A 19,363-nucleotide genomic window follows, 5' to 3' on the forward strand; every position below is an offset into this window, starting at 1 on the left:
TTTTCAACATGAGCATAGTATGAAAATGATACACATTCAGTAGAAATCGTACTTTTAAGTGCCCATACATCCCTTCTGTTTGTCACTTTCAGTACAGTATTCAATAAATTACATAAGATATTCAATATTTTATTATAAAATAGGCTTTGTGTTAGATGATTTTGCCCTAAGTGTAGGCTAATGTCAGTGTTCTGAGCATGCTGAAGGCAGGTCAGACTAGGCTACGATGTTTGGTAGGATAGGTGTATGAAATACATTTTCGACCTATGATATTTTCAACTTACAGTGGGTTTATTTGGATGTAATCCCGTCATAAGTCAAAATGCATCTGTGTAGGATAAAGGGGGGGGGGATATAACAACATTTCATTATTTCAATAAATTGTACCTCTCAGAATTGTTTCCTCTGAATTCAGAATTCCATTAGTATTCTAGGGCACGTTCTGCCACTCCACTCTTATGAAAGAGGCACTCCACCCAGCTGTATTTCTTTTTATCTATGTCTGTAAAATGGTAAACTCCTTGAAACTATTTCCACTGCAGTCTTTGTACATAAAACAATAATTTAACACTTGCTATAATTGCTTTAAAAATATGTGCACACACACGCGTTGGTCATTTAATTCTTATTTACCCTTAGGTCAATCAAGTAATTGGTATAATAACTTTAAAGGTAAATCAAATCTTATTAACGCTTTCTAAGTACTTTAAAAATCTTAAGTCAATGAGTATTTGTGTGAAGTACTACTACTGGGAAGAAATGCAGAAACATTTTAATATCTGGTTCCTGAAAAAGGTTTTTCACTTATTTAGAGTCTCAGGAAACTCTGCTGGTTTTGATTCTTCCAGGAAATAAGACTGTCTGCAGAAACTGCTAGAGGAGTTTAATATGGTTTGGACTGTGAGTTATCGATACATTAATAGCTACAGTTCAAATAATAAACTACCCAGAAACTATAACACGCAAGGACTATCTTGGATATTAGGATGCAAGCCTGTCCGGCCTGCAGGCTGCTCACAGATTTGCTGGGGAAAACCATCCACGTCCCCACTGGGAATGAACCTGCTGTGCAGGGAGGTATGCCCTGCGCTGAAATACCTGATGGTCTGGTCTGAATTTTGGAAGCACCAGAGTGACTTTATGACCAGGACCAAAGGTCACATAAATATCGATTGGCTTAAAAATGCATCAAACCTCTATTTTGCTTATAAAATTATTAGGCACTGTAAGGAAGAAAAGATAAATAAGACAGGCTCCATCCATATGCTAACGTAAAAATAAAAGAGTAAGAAAACAAAAAGAGAAAGGAAGGACTAAGAATTCAGAAAAAGAGACCAGGTGTGACCAAGAGTGGTCAAAGAAGGTTCTAAAGAAAAAGTAAGAACCAGAGCTGGGCCCTGAAGGAGGAGGAGAGTCAGGTGTAGAAAGCAAAGACATAGAAAGGAGAGACAGCACGCTCTGCACGAGGCCCCTGGTGGGCAGGGGCATGGGGGTGCATGGAGGGATGAACAGAGTGTGAGCAAGGGCTGCAAACAAACCGATTAAAATAAATGTTCTGCTCTCTGTTTTCTTTTTTTTCCTTCGAGTTTTTTCTTTTTCTTTCTTTCTTTTTTTTTTTTCTCAGACATGGTCTCACTCTGTCACCCAGGCTAGAGAGCAGTGGCACAATCATGGCTTGTTGCAGCCTTGACTTCCCCAGGCTCAGGTGGTACTGCCACCTCAGCCTCTCGAGTAGCTGGGACTACAGGAGTGCACCACCACACCCAGCTCACTTTTGTATTTTTAGTGGAGACAGGGTTTTGCTATGTTGCCCAGGCTGGTCTTGAACTCCTGGGCTCAAGTGATCTGCCCACCTCGGCCTCTCAAACTGCTTGGATTATTAGGTGTGAGCCACCGTACCTGGAAGTGTTCTGTTCTCTGCAGCTAAACCTTTAACCTAGGCCATCCTAAGCCCTAGGCCCATTCCCATTATTATCATCTCATTTAATCACTGATAGAAACAGTTTCAATGATTAGAAGTTATAATACTGCAAAAACAAAAGCTATAGCAAAAAACTATATATATGATCAATAGGGCAATAGTTCTTGTGGTGCAGAATCTACACAGTCATCACCTCCCTTTCCTGAAGCAGCAACATTCCTGGACTTGGAAGACAAAAGCTACCCTGGAGCAGGGGTTGCAGGGGAGCAAGATAACAACCCCCAAAAAGCGTTACTTCCTCCCAATGACCAGCATCTGCTCCTTCTTGTTGGCACACAAAGAATTAGGGTGTTAACAGCTAAGATAAAGAGGCCCTGGGTTGATATTAACTTACCTTCAATTTACCTCCAGCTAAATCCCACCTTAATTGACTTGATACTTTTATTTGAAATAAGTGGTTTAAAACAGTGGGCCGATGAGCCCCAATAGTAAGAAGACTAAGCTTACCTGTGTGTTTGTCTGTTTGCTTTGCTATTAAATATTCAACAATATATGTGTAGGATTTAAGTGATCATTTTCTCTTGGTATGGATATGAGTGTACTGATAAAGCTGTTCCCATAAGGGAAATGCTGTTCTCACCAGCAAGCCAGCCTCCAGACTCTTTCAAAAGAGCATTAAATTGCGTCCTTCATGGATTTAGACGGCAGAGATAGCGTTTCTGTTTAATCATCTGCTCACCACAAAAGGAAGGCACACTAACTTCTGCAGGAAAAGTGTACATTAAATTACTTCTGAGGCTCCCCAAAGATTAAGGCTGGTAGGTTTGGGATTGCATTACAATTAAGTAATAATGAAAGAGAAATCATGTCTTTTGATCAAATAATGCATTAATCCTACCCTACACTGAGTAACCTTATTCACTCTCTGGGAATGTTGACTTTTTGAGGTAATTTTTATTTCTCATTCCGCAGGACAGGAAACAGGGACAAAGAAAAAGAGAACGGCAGGCATCAAGGAAGACAATGGGAGGAAAAGTGCCCTGGAAAGCTGCCTATTAGGAATTAGTATTCATCACAGCATAGAGAAAATCCCAGGTGGTTTTAATGGAAGGGTGAAGTCATTCCTTAAGAGTCAGCACACACAAAGCATTTTCTGCAGAAAAATACATTTTGCCCATGAACCCCAAATTCATGGGACCTACTACCTTGGAGAGGGCCAGGTTGCAGTTTATGGATCCTCTTTACTACATAAGACCAGGGTTCACTAAGCAATTAGCAGAACATCCAGACTCTCCAGGGAGGTATTTGAGGACAAGTTTTTCAAGCACTTTAGAAGCATTTATATATACCTAACATGCCATTAATCATTCTTATCTGTTCATTAAAGCACTCTCCCTTAGGACCTCCACTTGCCAGTTCTTTCTCAGCCTGGTGCTTTCTATCTATATACCTGAAAAGTAGTCCATTTCTTTTCAAATATATTTTATAATTAAAATACTTCACTAATTCACATGGGTGTGCTCCACCAATTACTCTGCATTTTCAGAGTTTTATTAAATATACAGAAAGGCCATTCTCCTGAGGGTCTTTGTAGAGACTAACCAGGCAATTCAAGCTTGGTTTCGGAATACACTTTCAGCATCTGAGAGGTTTTAGAGCCATTACTCACATCGTGTTATCAACCTCTTGTCTGTATCCACACAGGTTGCCTTCTTCTGTCCCCACCAAAAAGGAAGTGCAATTTTAATTCACTTTGTGATCTAACTGATCTAAACTAAAGGTGGAGGGGAAATCAGATACTGTAACATCGGAAAGCAATCAGTTTGAAATGTTATGTCCGCAGGGATTTGACTATACCTCTGCCTGTGACTCCCCCACACCCACATCCGGGCCTCTGCTGGTTCCTGGGTCCATCCATCCCAGCGCAGCCGGCAGGGAGGCTCCGAGCAGTGTGAGATGCAGCCAAAAGCCTCCTGGTTTCATTTTGATGAGTCTGTTGAAGAAATGACAAATGCTGAGAATAAAACATTATGAGATGGATATAATAAGTCACAGTGAGTTAGTATGTGTTCCCCAGAATCAGATAAGCCTGGGTTTAAATCCTGGCACCAAACTTCTGTTCTACCTTGGAGAGGTTATATTACTTCTGAGCCTTAGTTTACTTATTTCTAAAATGGCAATAATATGTACCTCGAAAGGCTTTTGTGAGGATTGAAGGAGTTAGTGTCAGGCATAGAGTAAGAACTCTATAAATGCTGTTACGTGGAAACCCATTTGAAATGCCACCTACCGTTACATCTATAAGAACAAACCAGGGTGAGGCAGGTGGGTCACCTCTATTAGGCTGCCATATAGCCACGCCTTAGTTTCCTGAGAAAGCATTTGGGGCTAGGCACACAATTAGTGCTCGAGAAACTATGATTATGGCTGGGCGCAGTGGCTCACAACCTGTAATCCCAGCACTTTGGTAGGCGGAGGTAGATGGATCACTTGAGGTCAGGAGTTTGAGACCAGTCTGGCCAACATGGTGAAACCCGGTCTCTACTAAACATACAAAAATTAGCTGGGCGTGGTAGCAGGCACCTGTAATTCCAGCTACTCAGGAGGCTGGGGCAGGAGAATCGCTTGAACTCGGGAGGCGGAGGTTGCAGTGAGCCGAGATCATACCTCTGCACTTTAACCTGGGCGACAGAGTGAGACTCTTGTCTCAAAAAAAGAAATGATGATTAAGAATTATGTTACATCTCTGGCACCTCATTTGCAGCCGACACCTCAGTTTATAAGACAGTGAGCTTCAAAATGGCATCATAAGGTCTAATATCTTAGTTTCAAGACCAACCATTTTTTGTGGCAGAATCCAAGCATCCAATGATTCAGAATTTCAATAACCTTTGAGGTGTTTCCTGAGGCTCACTTGATAACATTACTGTATACAGTCCTAAAAGACAAGAAGTGAGCAATTCAAGGTAATCAAATAATCACATGGATGAAAAAACTAAGGATCAGCTACAACAAATATTCAAGTCCAAATCATGTGCTAAGCATTGTGCTGAGGAAATGAGGATACAGACTATCTTACTTGTCCAATAAGCTGTACTTTTTTGGAAAAAGTTTTCCACTGTGAACACAGTCCAACCATAATTTCAGTATTCTGATTATGAAACATAACCAGATACAACTCATTATGTAGTACTTAGAACCCCTACTCAAGGAAACTTTAGGGGTTATTGATTTCTGCTTGTACCACACAATTTAGTGCTTAATCACATATGGTCCACACTGCATCCTGATCTAGGCTGGTGAGTTAAAGACACCGGAGCTCCTTGGAGGCCAGCATCCAGCATGAACTGGCTTAGGGCTGGTCCAGAACAGACATCCAATTCAGAAAGAAGTGGGTGCTTGAGGGACCTGGCAGTCCATCCCTGCTCACTGCCATAGGCAACAGCTTTGGAGCATCCCTACTTTAGACAATGGGGTGGAAGTTGTCACATAGTCACTAGTGCTGAGTCCAGGGCTGGCAAACAATTACACTCCTGCCACATTCCAGGTTTTGTTTGGCTGCTATCCACATCCAAATAGAGCTGCCTCTCCACATCTGCTTTATGTCTCCAGCTGGAGACAGAAATGCCCACAGGGAGGAGAAGTCAGACTCAAAATTGTGGGCCTATGGCACTGGCCTATGAAAAGGCAAGGTTATAAGGCATGACTGTCTTTTAAGAGAAGGTGTCTGCTTGTTTTAAAAAGAGTCCATAAGCTCCCACTCTTATATCTGTTTCTTCGGTCACTCATCTTTGACATCTGTTGACAAAGCTGAGCTACCAGGAAAAGAGTCTGGGTGGTCAGTAAATATAATCTGAAGGTCACAGTCTCACCATCAGCACCTGCCCCACACTCTGAAGAAGGCAGAGTTGAGTGGAATAATGCCGCTTCAGCTGCCACCCGGGAGAGGACTGTGAGGACTGCGGCAGTCACGGCACTCCCTCCCCTGCCCCCCAATGGCTTCTGCGCTCTTGATCCAGTGATCTAGCTAGGGTGTGTGAAATCTTACAGGGAGAAGGAGCAGGAAAAGAAAATCATATTCGGGACTAAGAATAAAAATGTCTTCCCCTAACTGCAACCTGTTTTTATTGTTTTCTTGAGATGGAGTTTCACTCTTGTAGCCTGCGCTGGAGTTCAATGGTGCGATCTCGGCTCACTGCAACCTCCGCCTCCTGGGTTCAAGTGATTCTCCTGCCTCAGCCTCCCGAGTAGCTGGGATGACAGGCATGCGCCACCATGCCCAGCTAATTTTGTATTTTTAATAGAGACAGGGTTTCTCCATGTTGGTCAGGCTGGTCTCGAACTCCCAACCTCAGGTGATCCACCTGCTTCGGCCTCCCAAAGTGCTGGTATTATAGGAATGAGCCACCATGCCCAGCTGAGCTGCAACCCATTTTTCTAAAAATAAACAAGGTAACTCCCTATTCTCCATAAGTAATCCTCTTCTGAATGCAGAGCCACTTTCCAGAGACTGCAGAAAACAGCGAGTGGATTTTTGGAATTTTTAAAAACCAGCCATAGAAATTTAAGCTAGAACTAGAAAGACATTGCTTCTTATTCTCATTAATTTTGTCCTACTTATCTACTATCAAACATTGCTCACAGAGTAAACACACAGAGCAAGGTCTACTTTTCTCCCTTTCCATGTCTCCTAGCTCACATAAACGAAAAACAGCAAGATAATCCAAATCTATTCTAGTTAATGTACAGATGTCAACTCTTGGAGTTATGAAATACATAAGCCACAAAATCTGGTATTTAACTTTTAATCTGCTTTGTAATCTAAGATCAATTATGTTTTATGTTTTGGTACTAATGGGTAGCATTAAAATAAAATATATTCATTTCAACTGTGATTTTGGCAAGCGCCAAATCAGTTCATAAGAGGATGCACCAAGACTGCTGGTTTCTGGGTTGTGTTTCAGAAGGCCCAAGATCCAAGCCTGGAGCTTGGCCTGGAGTTGCCACTGGTTTTATCTGGTTTGTGTTTATATTTCCTGTAAGATTGTATCTGGAAACAGGAAAACTCTGGAAACAGGAAAACACATGAGCCAGGCCAACTACTGAAATACTCCTGGGCAGCTTGTTTGTAAAGTTTAGCTCAGTCTGTCTACCACTAGCTGTGATTTCATTTGCACTGTGGATGTGTTTTAGATGTCATTTTATACTTAACGGTGATTGACAATTCATTATATCTACAGCACCAACAGCCTGGAAATTTACAGCTCAAGTTTTATGACAGTTCAGTTCATAAAAAGGAATTAATATTGGGTCTAAATCAATTTTGATTATCTGTCTAATAATCAAATAGAGACTATCTATTTGGTTAACACTTATATAGCAATTACGATGTGTCAGGCACTGTTCTAAGCACTTCACAGGTATTAACTCATAACCCTCCTTTTTCTACTCCATGATGGGGGCAATGATTATCCCTCAATCAGATGAAAGAGGAGATGGGGTCACAGAGAGGTTAAGGACTCTGCCAAGGCCATGTGGCAGACAAGTGGCAAAACTGAAATTCCAAGTCAGGCACGTAGACCCACGACATCTATTCTCTTAACTCCCACCTGCTGCCGCCTGTCTGTTTTGTTTTGTCCTGCCTGTTTTGTTTTGATAAACAGTTGTTTTTAGTATAATGGGGAAAATCTAGAGACAGTAAGATAGGAGGCCCTGGCCCCGAGACTCTCCTTTCCTCTGAAAGCTGCCACGAGCTACTCTCCTCCTCATGGCTCCAACCAAGGGCAGAGAGCCAAGCTGCTCACCCTTAATTCCCACATTCTACCCCGGGATGGGGGCCCCTGGGCAGACTCTCCTCAGTCCTCACTGCTGCTCTATTTATGGGCTAAGAAAAAATACGGTAGAAGGAAAGAAGGGAGGGAGGGAGGGAGGGGAACCATAAAAAGATGCACAGAATCCCAGGCCGATGCCCCTCAGCTCACGGAGAGCACCAGCATCATAAGGCTAGTCACTCTGGAGAAGTAAATCTGTTAACAAATTAATTACTCCTCAAATTCAAATAGTCCTACTGGCCTTCAGATAGAGGCAAATGCAAGAATCTCCCCATTATAGAATTGGGAAGGTGCCATCCATAAGGTCACAAATCCCCTTTTAAACCTAGAGCTCCTTTTGAGATCAATTTAGATTAATAAGTTTCATTCAATCCTTGCTAAGCCCTAAGTATTAATTATAAATCTACCTAGGACTGTCCCCATATAAAGAGCTGAGACTACCTTTTGTTCCAAACAAGTCATAAAGTACACTGACTTGATGCTTTAACCATCTTGTTTGGAAGGGAGGTGTTTCATTGCTTCCCCTGTGGTTTCCTACCAGAGCTTCAACAGACATTCCCCCAGTCAGGAGAACCTGGTGCTAACCTGGCTGCCGCATAGATAGGACACCAGAAGACCAGAAGGTGGACGAATCCACCCAGGTTCAAGGACAAATCAGTGGCTAGGCCTAAACTGGAACCCAGGCATCCTGCCCCCAGGGCAACTGTTTGGTTCCTTATATTATGGCACACTTACATCTAGAGTGGGAGTTTGGATTCTTTGTTTAGATAGGCAGATTTTGCTTTTCTCAATGCTGAAGGACCTCCACTAGATTGTCTACCTCCTTGTGAAAACCACAGGATTTTCAGGTGTTCTAAAATAAGCTAATATCTGTGCTATTATTTATCTGTATTTAGAATTACAGAGGTATTACAGGTTAGTATGATGTAACATTCCAAATACTGACTTGCTTTTTGAAGAAAGCTGAAAAAGCATGAAATAGGAATGCAAATTGTTAGGGAGAAATAGGTATTCATATGAAAATACCAAAATCTGCCCCACCCAGAGAACGCACACAGGCATGTAAGCTGTCTTTATTGACCAAGTTCATAGGCCAGAGAGAAGCAATCCCATTAAACTGGCAATGGGTTTAATACAAACTTCTCTTTCTATTCCAGGAAACAGCCCTGTTGGGAAGAATGGGAATTCTGGCCCTCAGAGTTTCGGTGGCATTGTTCATCCATTCTCTCTCTCAGCCTCTCTCCCAGAACTTGGTAACTTTACCAGACTAGCCATTAAGGATTAGCCATACAGAAATGGCTTCTTTTTGTAATCAACAGGACCAGAAATTACAAAGATGATTTGGCAGAACCAAGCAATGCCACCCAGCCTTGAAGAGAACAGTCAGATTTGTGACCCTGAAGCATCTGCATTCTCAACCTTTCCAAATGAAAAAGTGTCTGCCCTACACACACTGTAGGTGTGTAGCATTTCATACATGGCATGTTGGCAATCAACATATAAAAATCAACTGGGATTCTGGAATTCCAAATACTGACTGAATACAACGTGGAATTCTCTTCTGCATGTCTGCTCAAATTTAAAGGGGGAAAAAAAGCCACATCAACCCCAGCGTGAAACCAGGAGGCTGTACGGGAACCTCTCAAAGGCTTACGACCCTAGTTTTGATATGTGAGTGTTTTAGAAAAAAAGAAAGTGGTACAGATTTCCTAAGACAGTCCCTAAAACACCAACCCAGGGAAATTAGGCATGGAGATATAGCAAGCTAACGTTGCAGCAAGCCCTAATGAAGTTAAATTGCATTTCCTATTAATTATCTACTCTATATCATTAGTTAATTCTTCCCCAACACTTGATAAATTAGATGGCTACATTATTCTATGTGCCATGTATAAATCTCTATTCCTATTTACTCTGACGTTTAACACAGACACACATGTGACTTCCAATAACCTTTATCCTTACAACCTTCAGCTCATACCTCTTAAGAACCACATGCTCTTGATTGCAGTTCTATTTTATTGGAAATTCCATGCCTTATGTTATGCATTGAGACAGAAAATGTAAAGAAAGATGTGCTCTTGAAATATCTAATTGCATTAAGCTAGGAAGCACACAACTAACCGCACATAAGCAACTCAAGAAGGTTGAGTTTGCAGAGAAACACTCAAACAAGGCAAGGTAGGAGTTAAGGTAGTTTTATGAAACAATGACTATTCAATGCTAGTCTCTGAATATAGTGTTAAGTCAAACAAAAGATCATAACGTGAAGGTCACATTTAAAAAGTCCTACGGCCCTTAGTAAAAGGAAAAAAAGTCCTCAGTGACTGACTGGTCATGGTGGAAAAATCCAACCTCCTCTTCCCTCACCCACCTCCAGGGCACAGCCGAAAGGATAAAAGTTCTCCTAATACCCAGAAAAACAAGCTGGCCTTTTCCAGAAGAAAAAGAGCTTTCCTAGAATCAACAAAAATTGAGGATGATCATAAAAGTCTAAGAGAGAAAAAAGCACTAGGACAACTCTAACGAGCAATTTAAATACATTACATCAAAGTGGACTATTTTCTTATGTGAACTTTGGCTCAGTCTGAAGTCTTTGGAGAGGGTGGTGCCTTTTTTTCCTAGGATGGGAGGGAAAAAGCGAACATTTAGCAGAGTATGGCAGAAATGGTCTAGTGATGCTGCAGTGCCTCCTTCTCACAACGCTAAGATGGGAAGCAGACACGTGCCCTGTAGGGCATCTGCTCGTATGTCCGGCTTGAGCTCCTGCCTGAGAGTTGCTGTGGCTCTGGAGTCTCAGAAGCTGCATCACTCACACCTCCGACCATTCCCTTCCCAGGTGGACCCCCCGCCAACCAGACCCAGAGTCTGTCCTGGGGGCCAGAGGGGCAGGCACAGAAACTGGCGCCTGGCTCCCAGGATTAAGAAGACACTATTAAAAAGCATCGCTGGTTTCCCCTAAATTTGGCAGTAGGAAAATAACTTAGGACTTTCAAGAAGAGTCCTAGTCGCTCACTGATCCGTCTTTTCCCCTCACAGATTGTGACACAGGCCCATTCCCGGTGAACATTTTGGCTGGCAGTTACTTCACCACCTATTGAAATTCTGTTTACGTTTGGCCCAGAGAACCTGGACGGATGTTTGTATCTCGGGGGCCCCATCTAGTACAATTCCTGGTGCACAGGCTTGCAACAAATTTACGAAGGTAACAGACCAAGCTGCCGGCGCTGTTTTTCACTGGAGGAAAGCTCGGCGGAAGCGACACCTAGAGGGGAGCGGCGGGCTGTGGCCGCGCCATTCATCAGTGTCGGCGGCCCGCGGCCGCGAGCGAGGGCTGCTGGACAGCGCCCCGGCACCCGCTCTCGAGCCGCGACACCGACCTCGCCGGGCCCGCCCCGCTGACCCGCGCACTCCTAGTGCACTTGCCGCGCCGCGCGGAGGCTCGCCGCGCTCTGGAAAACAAGAAACCCCACTGCCTCGGCGGCTTTCCGCTCCCGCAAGAGTTGCGGGCACAAAGTCCTCAGGTGGCAGGCCTGGGGTTGGCGCCGCTTTGTCGGCTGCAGGGAGCCCCAAAGACTAGCGTCAGCTCGTCCCCAAACTCGAGGCGACAGGCGCCGAAAGCAGAGTGCTGTGCCTGCCTCGTCCAGGTCCCTCCTGAAACTCAGAACTCGTCTTTGTTTTGCGGGCGCAAAGAGGGCGGAGATCATCCACAGTGCAAGCTCTCTTAGGACCAAGCCCCCAGCCCGAACGCTGAACGCCCCCAACACACTGCTCCCTAGACACGTTCAAGCGGGTACCCCGGGCCGCTCACTCTGGACCGCGGCCGGCTACGCACAAGCAGCGCCGCAGGCTGCCTGGAGTCGGGTCGTGCCCTGATTCCTTCCTCCCCAGCCTCACATGCGGCGGACCCCGGGGAAGCCAGGGCCAGGCGAAGCGCAGCGGGCCCTTTGGGCTGCAGCGAGGAGACGCAAGTTTCCCCGCAAAGCCGCGGGGAGGAGGTGCTGAGAATGCCTGCCCGGCGCCCCAACCCGGAGCCAAGGGCACCGGGCCCGGGCCGAGGGGCCGCGCTCGCCTGGCTCCGCCGGGGCCGCTCGGGGTCCTGAACCCAAGAACGGCGCCTGCAGGATTTCGGAGCCGGGCGCGAGCTGCGGGCTCGGCCCGAGCGCTTCTGCGTGGCGCCCCGCGTGCCAACCGGGTCACTCCGGTCCCCACCGTAGACCCCGGCCACGAGCCTCGGCGTCCCAGCCTCTCCTCGAGTCCTGGCCTTGGCCGGGGTAGCCCTGCCGAGCCCTGGCCCAGCGGTCCCTTCCCCGCGGGCAAACTTGGCTTTCCCGGCGCGGGCAGTAAGGACAAGCAAGCGCCCGCGCCGGGCCCTGCAGCAAGATGCGGGGCCGCGGGCGCCAGGACCCCAGTGGGGTGCAGCGGGACCGGCTGGTGGCGGCGCCAGCGACATGGCACCCTCCCCGCGCCCGCTGGGAGCTGCGCCCGCGTACCTGAGACGGCCGGGGCCGAGGGGAAGACCAGGTGGCCGGACTTGGGCGGGAGGGAGGGAGCACCCCGTGGCGGCGGCGGCGACCCCGCCCCGCGTCCTTCGGCTGGTTTCTCGGGCTGTCGGCGGGTCCCGGGCTCGCTGGAGGCTGTTGAGGCTCCAGCTCCCTGAGCCGCCGCTGCCCGCTGCTGTGCCACCGCCGCCGCGGCTGCCCTATTTCTGCCGCCGGGACCGGAGCCCGTGACGTCACCCTCTGGGCCCCGCCTGCCCAATCGCCGCCACCTGTGCGCGCCGCCCGCCCGCCAGCCGGTCAGACCCGCGCGGCGGCCACGGCAGGTGCGCGGAGCAGGCGGGCGCGCACGCGGGGCGCGATGACTCCGGAGCGCTGGGGCCATCTAGGGCCCGGAGGGAGGAGGGCCAGCGTAGCGCTCCTGCCTCTGGCTAGCGTGGAGCTCGGCAAGTGACAGCCCCTCTTCACCTCTGCTCTCCTCCAGGCTCCTTTCCGGGCCAGGTTCCCCAAAGCTGTGCTCTCCAGGCGCACAGGGGGTCTCTGAATCCGCGGCCATTGCTCGTGGAGTCCAGGCGGGCCGGTACACCACAGCAGGAGAGCTGTCCCTGGGGACAAAGTGGGTGAAATCCCCCGCCGTTGAGACCCAACAACCTGGGAAACAGCAAAGGTTTTCTCTTTTCTGAATCTTCCCTCTTCCAACTACAGAATCTTAAGACATTCAGGGCATACAGGGGCAATCCCAAGTGACATTTGCCTACCTGACCTAGCTGGGCCCAGAGGGTCCCTTCTCCCTTAGAACAGGATATTTCCCCATCCTGATCCCATCCCCAAGCCTGGGGCTCCCAAACTTTTCTGAATCCCTCTTTAACATCAGCAGCTTTTGAGATCAGTCTTCCTTCCCGAATGAACTGGAAACACCTTTGTAACAACTAGGGGCCCATAAATGGTCATACGTAGCCTCAGTCTGGCAGGAAACTTAGGAGGGAGCCCCTACCCAGGCCAGGCTGATGGCCAGGAGACTTTCTGAGGGCCTGCCTCCTGCTCTGGCTGCGTGGGCACCAGGGGCCTTCCTGGCTTAGGTGAACAGTGTTCTGTCCATGCCTCTGTAATCTCTCCTGGCCGGGGGGAGGTGACAGAGGGGATTTTTCTGAGGATGAAGTTAGTTAAATATAAGGAAAAGGGGAAGAATAATGGAAGGCTGACCTGAAGAAAGAGATATTACGTTTGTTTTTTCCTTCCACAGATTTTCCTGCCGCTGAACCCCTCCAATGCAGCAGGCACTGTGCTATTAATAGTTGCTAGAGATACAGCAGTGAATGGGCCAGCGCGGTCTTGGCATCACACAGTTTTGGTCTGGGGTCCAGCTCTCCCTCTATCACTGCCAAGCTATGTAATGCAGAGCCAATCGTATCTCTACTGTAGGTATCAGTTTCCCCACTTGTAAAATGAGGGGTTGGACAAAACCTGGTTGACTTCCCATGTGGATACCATGATTTTTACTCAGAAGGATAAAGGCTACTACATCCTCAGTGACCCTGGGCCCTAGCCAGTGTGATCCTCTCTCAGATTTGACTATGAATCTTTGCCAAGGCCACCATGACTGAACTTCTGGGGCTGGCTAGGGGCCAGATTCTCCATGGCAGGACTGGGGAAGGGATGGCACTTTTCATCTTGGGAAACAGAAAAGAGAAAATGAGTATAAAAGGAAGCAGGGAAGTTTGGAAATGTGCTGTGCCTCCCTCTGAAATGTAATTCTAAGTCTGTGGTCAGGAACGTACACCATGGCTTAGAGGCTGGATTCGGCTCTCCTCTAAGACATGAGGTATTTGGAAAAGCAGATTTCTATTCTCAGCTCTGATCACAAAGTCCCTGAGTCAACCTAGTGGCCTTATTACATAATCAAAGCAGGACTTTGTGTATTTTTTGTTTTTTAGTAACTCAAGGTCATATGTAAATCAGGGTCTATAGGTTGACCAAGATCAGAAATAGCTCTGTTTAATGCAGTGAACAGGCACTGAACTTCTACACGCTTCCCAAAGAAGGAGAAGAAGGTAGTTGCTGCAAACCAGATGTATGGAATATTCCTTAGAGAGAATGCTAACATCTGAAGTGAGCTGTTTAACTACTGTGCATAAAATAAGAGTGAAATTAAAAGTCACCTCGGAATGAGAAAGGTGAAGTGTGAATGACAAAATAAAACAAGGCTCCAGGGAAGCAGCATCAGATGCCAGTAACCTTGACACCTCTTTGAATTGCTCTGTGCTTTTACCTCTCAGTGTAATTTTTTGTTTAATAGTACACCCCAAATTGGAAAATAGGCTAGATTTCACACTGAGAATTTCAAAATTTGCCTGAAACCCTGTTTCAGAACTTGCAAGCATACTGATTCTCAATAGCCAACTAGGATTCTTAGGGGAAATAATGGTTAAGTTTTGAACTTCATGTAATTCAATAAGCTTGGAATAGGGGAGCTAAAAGGAAACATAAATTCCAGTTACTGCCCCCCAGCCCCACTCTGTTTTTGGTGAGTGGTTCAGCCAGAGACACACATAAAAACATTATTAATATACTTTTACAAGATCAAAAAGTTTAAGCAACCCAAATATTTTTTTACGTTGCTGGTTTAAAATCTTTTTTCTATTTCTAATCCTTACCAAAAACACAACAATATAATGAAAAACTACTGCCAAATGATGTGTGTCTCTTAGGACATTTCAGATTACACCTGCATATCAGGATACTCAGAGATGACACATAGCCATGGGAATCAGGAGGAAGCAAGGCACTTTCTCCAGATCCAACCAAAAGTATCTGCATCACTAACTGTGGGTCAGCTTACCCTTGGGAGTCCCCACTAGGCTGGTCAAACAGTGCCTAGAAATACCCATTAGAAGCCAGACTGGGAAGTCATGTGAGAAGGTGGGAAAAGGCAGGAAAGAGTCTTCCTTGTCTTGCATAATTTAACGTTCTGCTGCCTGTTCAAAAAATGTTTTTGTAAATCTTCAAACCAAACCATGCAGTTTACTGAAGAGCCAGCCCTGTGCTTAGGAGAGCCCTGGATGGGAGGCACAAGGATGGGGTCTCTCTCCCGCCTCAGCCTCTAGGGCTCAGTGAGCCTGGGAGAGTCACACCTTTCCCAGAACTTGTTTTCTCTTAAGTGGGAATTGGGAATGGGTACATGGGAGGCAGTCATACTAAACGACATGTCTAAGGCCATTTTCAGTTCTAAAGGTCTATGCCTTTATTTTGCCTGTATTTATAGAAGTTCAGTTATTCTGATCTAAACAGAGCTATGATGTTGAAGTTTTCCTCTAAGTCTAATATTAATGCTTATTTTTAAGATGATAATTCATTAATCACCTAGAAATTAAGGGAATGTAGGCAGTAAGTTCAAGATCCTAGACTTAAGATTACACATACATAATTGTTTTTAACTTTATTTCAGGGAGAAAAGTAGCTAGCATGGAGATAAGGTATTCATTCAAGGGACAACTGTGATTGGGGAAATTTTTCGAGACAAAGAAGAAGTGGTATAGAGTAGGAATTTTAATGAAGAAGTTGGGATAAATGAGAAGATGCAGTGATGGAAAGGGAATTGTGAATGGTAAAAATGGAGGGAGATGAACATAAAACCCTCACCATGGCATTGTTACCAAGGCAAATTCCCAGCAAACTCACAGGGGCTGGATTGATGGCACAAGGGGACCAAGAAAGGTGCTGATAACAGGAGGAAACTGAAGTCTGCTACTCTTAAGAATGTATTGTTTACAAGGGATAATTGGGGATGAGATGGCCAGGCCTACAGCCACAAACTATCATACCCTACTGAGTATAGGCAAAAGGGATGAAAGAGGGAACATATTAAGAGGAGAGTGAAAAGAGGGGCCAATTTCCTTTCTTTGAAAGGGACAACATAATTTTTATCATGACCCTGTTTTCCAACTCACCAGTATAGAATCATAAATAATGTGAAAATCTAAATCTATCTATCTATCTATCTATCTATCTATCTATCTATCTATCTAATTTTAAAGGTGAACTGCTACCTTAGGGAGCTTCCATTCTTTCTTTTCCTCTTCTTTTCTTTTTGAGACAGGGTCTTACTCTGTCACCCAGGCTGGAGTCCAGTGGTGGGATCACAGCTCACTGTAGCCTCAACCTCCCTGGGCTCAGGTGATCCTCCCACCTTAGCCTCCCAATAGCTGGGACTACAGGCATGCACTACCATACCCAGGTAATTTTTGTACTTTTTGTAGAGACGGGGTCTCCCTATGTTGCCCAGGCTGGTCTTGAACTCCTGGGCTCAAGTAATTTGCCCCACCTCGGCCTCCCAAAGAGCTGGGATTACAGGCATGAGCTACCTGGCTGGCTGAAGCTTCCATTCTTCTAAATAAACGTTCCTTTCAAATGAATATGCAGTATTATGATGGGTCACCTCAAGGGCTATGAAGACAACTATCCAACCTTCAGGGGTATAAGATGGTACTGGACTTAGTTGATAGGCCACCCTAGATCTGAGCAGCCATTCTGACCTCTTTGACCCTAACCTGGACCAGGGCTTTGGACACTTACTTGTCTTGCTTCCTAGCAAGAGTGGCCCTATTAACTGTTCCATGCCATCTCCACAGTCTTAGAGCCAGTTCCCCTCTGCTGTTACTGCCACTACTTCAGATCAAGAAGTCCTGTCTGGCTGGGCATGTTGGCTCATGCCTGTAATCCCAGCTCTTTGGGAGGCCGAGGCAGGCGGATCATGAGATCAAGGGGTCGAGACCATCCCGGCCAACATGGTGAAACTCCGTTTCTACTAAAAATATAAAAATTAGCTGGGCATGGTGGCACGCGCCTATAGTCTCAGCTACTCAGGAGGCTGAGGCAGGAGAATCACTTGAACCCGGGAGGCAGAGGTTGCAGTGAGCCGAGGTCGTGCCACTGCACTCCAGCCTGAGCAATAGAGCGAGACTCCATCTCAAAAAAAAAAAAAAAAAAAAAAAAGTCCTGCCTGAGGCACCAAATGATAGCGAGAAACTGGCCTCCATGCCTACGCATTTGTCAGACTCAAGACCTGGGGCTCTGGCTTCCCCAGAGACCTCCTGAAGAGGCTACTCAATACAGCACAGTTAATGCCCTGAGGGCTGGACTTTGACCAGTGGGAGACTGGGCACAGGAGGAAGCCAGCAGACAAATTCCCCCTTGTTTCCCTGGATGGTCTCTACGGAGATGCAGTGCCCCAAGTCTTCTTTGAAGATACTGTGGAGGCCCAGCACACACACAGCTGCACTTGTTACAAGGCTGTGGCCTGCTCAGCATTTGAGCTTTCCCCTTCCCTGCACCTGCTTCCCTAGGATTTTCCTTCTCCTTGATAAAGTGTTAGCTTATAAACTTTGCCTCCAGTTCTGTATTCTAGAGACCCCAGACTGATAGAAGTAACTGGAAGTAAGAGTGGTGACTTTTCAAGAGGGCAGAGGACAAAGTTCTTTCACAGGGGTGCTTAGGCAGAGATACGATTAGATGAGGGCGTGGCATACGAGAAGATCTAGCTGGGAGGGCATTTAGGCAGAAGGCCTAGCAGGCATAAAGAAGGAACTGGCTGATGTAGCTAAGCAGAGGGATCCAGGCAAAGAGTTGCAGAAGAAGGAGAGGGCTAGGCAAGGACCAGATCACACAGGGTCCTGACAAATGCAGTAGCCCTTCGTTATCCACGGGGATATGTTCCAAGACACTTAGTGGATGCCTGAAATCATGGATAGTACTGCACCTGTATATACTGGTTTTTCCCATACATACATACCTATGATAGTTTAATTTATAAATTAGATACAGTAGGAGATTAACAACAACAATAATTCATAACATATAACAATATATTATAATAAAAGTTATGTGAATATGATATATATATCTTCCTCTCAAAATACCTTATTATATGTAATGTTTCAGATTGCGATTGACTGCAGGTAACTAAACCTGTGGAAAGTGAAAGTGAAACCTCAAATAAGGGGGAACCACTGAAAGGACTCTAGATCTGATGTTAGGTGTAAGGAAAGCCATGGAGGGGAGGAGGGTGAGCAAGGATCTATAGTATGTTTTTAACAGATGTCTCTGGCTGCTGTATGAAGAACAAACTGGATAGAGAGGATAGTGACCAGATGCAAGAGTGAAAGCAGGAAAGACCAGATGCTCAGTTGTCAAGAGGTGCAAAGTGATGTCTAACCCATTATCGTCATCACTACCATCCAACCAGCACCTAAGGTTTATTGATTGCTAACTATGCCTTGGACACCAGTCCTAGCCCTTTATATGTATTGTTTTTCCTAATCCTCATGACAACTCTGTAAGATCCTTATTGCATAAATTAAGCTCAAAGAAGTTACCCAGTTTATCTAAGGCAATTTGGCTGGCAAATGGCAGAGCTAGGATTTGACTCAGAGCCTGTCCTCATAATCACTACACAATTCTGTATCAGTTACACACTGTGTGTGTATATGGCAGCTATCACATATCTCAGGATTTACGTACTACAAATAGGTGCCTAGAGAACCTTCTCTTCTGAATCTATTGGTATATTTAATTAGTTGTCCTCATCATGAACCCTTGTCACATAAAATCAAAACCAAACATGTAGTCTAAGAAATTATGGTAGACATTGTTGATTGGATACTCAAAGTATATTTCTCTCTTCTTTTCTGCATATAGAATGTCAGTTCCATTCAGGTGTCTCACCTTCAGCATGGTCTAAGCCAATCATGAAGCTCTTTTCCAGTGGTGATCAGGGAGCCCAGTGCTGGCTGAGGAGAGGTGAGAGAGTGTCAGCTGGGGAGACAAAGAGGTACACAGGAAGAGGTGGTACCTCTTTTCCCTCTTGATACTTTCATTAAGTATAAGACACCCCTAGACCCACAGCCACCAACTTGTGACCCTGTAAATGGCTAAGTTGGCTCATGGAGGATGGTGGAACAGGGAGAGAAAAAGAACCTAGGTCCTTAATGAGCTGCGCAAATAACCCATTCTAAAGCTGTCCTACCTCAGGATTTATTTTCCTTCCTACTTAAATCAATTGAGTTGGGTTTTTCTGTTACTCAAAGTTGAAAACACATCAAATGAAAAAGAAGTCG

The 19,363-nt window shown here is 45.7% G+C and overlaps 1 protein-coding gene across 3 annotated transcripts in view, besides 2 other annotated features; it reads right to left on the reverse strand.

The window, feature by feature from the left end:
• Positions 1–19,363, reverse strand: part of FSTL4 (follistatin like 4) — a 645,613-nt gene that overhangs the window by 403,625 nt on the left and 222,625 nt on the right. For 2 of the 3 annotated variants that reach the window (XM_011543284.3, NM_015082.2), the window contains exons 1-2: positions 12,246–12,462; positions 3,779–3,914 (exon numbers count right to left, since the gene is read on the reverse strand). In XM_011543284.3, coding sequence (XP_011541586.1) covers positions 3,779–3,904 — 126 coding nt within the window. In that variant the 5' untranslated portion in view covers positions 3,905–3,914; positions 12,246–12,462. Of the gene's footprint in view, positions 1–3,778; positions 3,915–12,245; positions 12,463–19,363 lie in introns of those variants that run through there. The other variant, XM_011543283.2, reaches the window with a different exon arrangement.
• Positions 2,735–3,320: an enhancer, noted in NCBI's record as "OCT4-NANOG-H3K4me1 hESC enhancer chr5:132938505-132939090 (GRCh37/hg19 assembly coordinates)". NCBI's record gives its function as "activates a minimal SCP1, AML or CMV promoter by ChIP-STARR-seq in naive and primed H9 embryonic stem cells {active_cell/tissue: H9 hESC(naive and primed)}" and the evidence as "EXISTENCE:reporter gene assay evidence [ECO:0000049][PMID:30033119]".
• Positions 11,144–11,193: a silencer, noted in NCBI's record as "silent region_16347". NCBI's record gives its function as "represses an Ori minimal core promoter by ATAC-STARR-seq in GM12878 lymphoblastoid cells {active_cell/tissue: GM12878}" and the evidence as "EXISTENCE:reporter gene assay evidence [ECO:0000049][PMID:35858748]".

Source organism: Homo sapiens, chromosome 5 (genome assembly GCF_000001405.40).
Source record: "Homo sapiens chromosome 5, GRCh38.p14 Primary Assembly".
NCBI classification, from domain to species: Eukaryota; Metazoa; Chordata; class Mammalia; order Primates; family Hominidae; genus Homo; species Homo sapiens.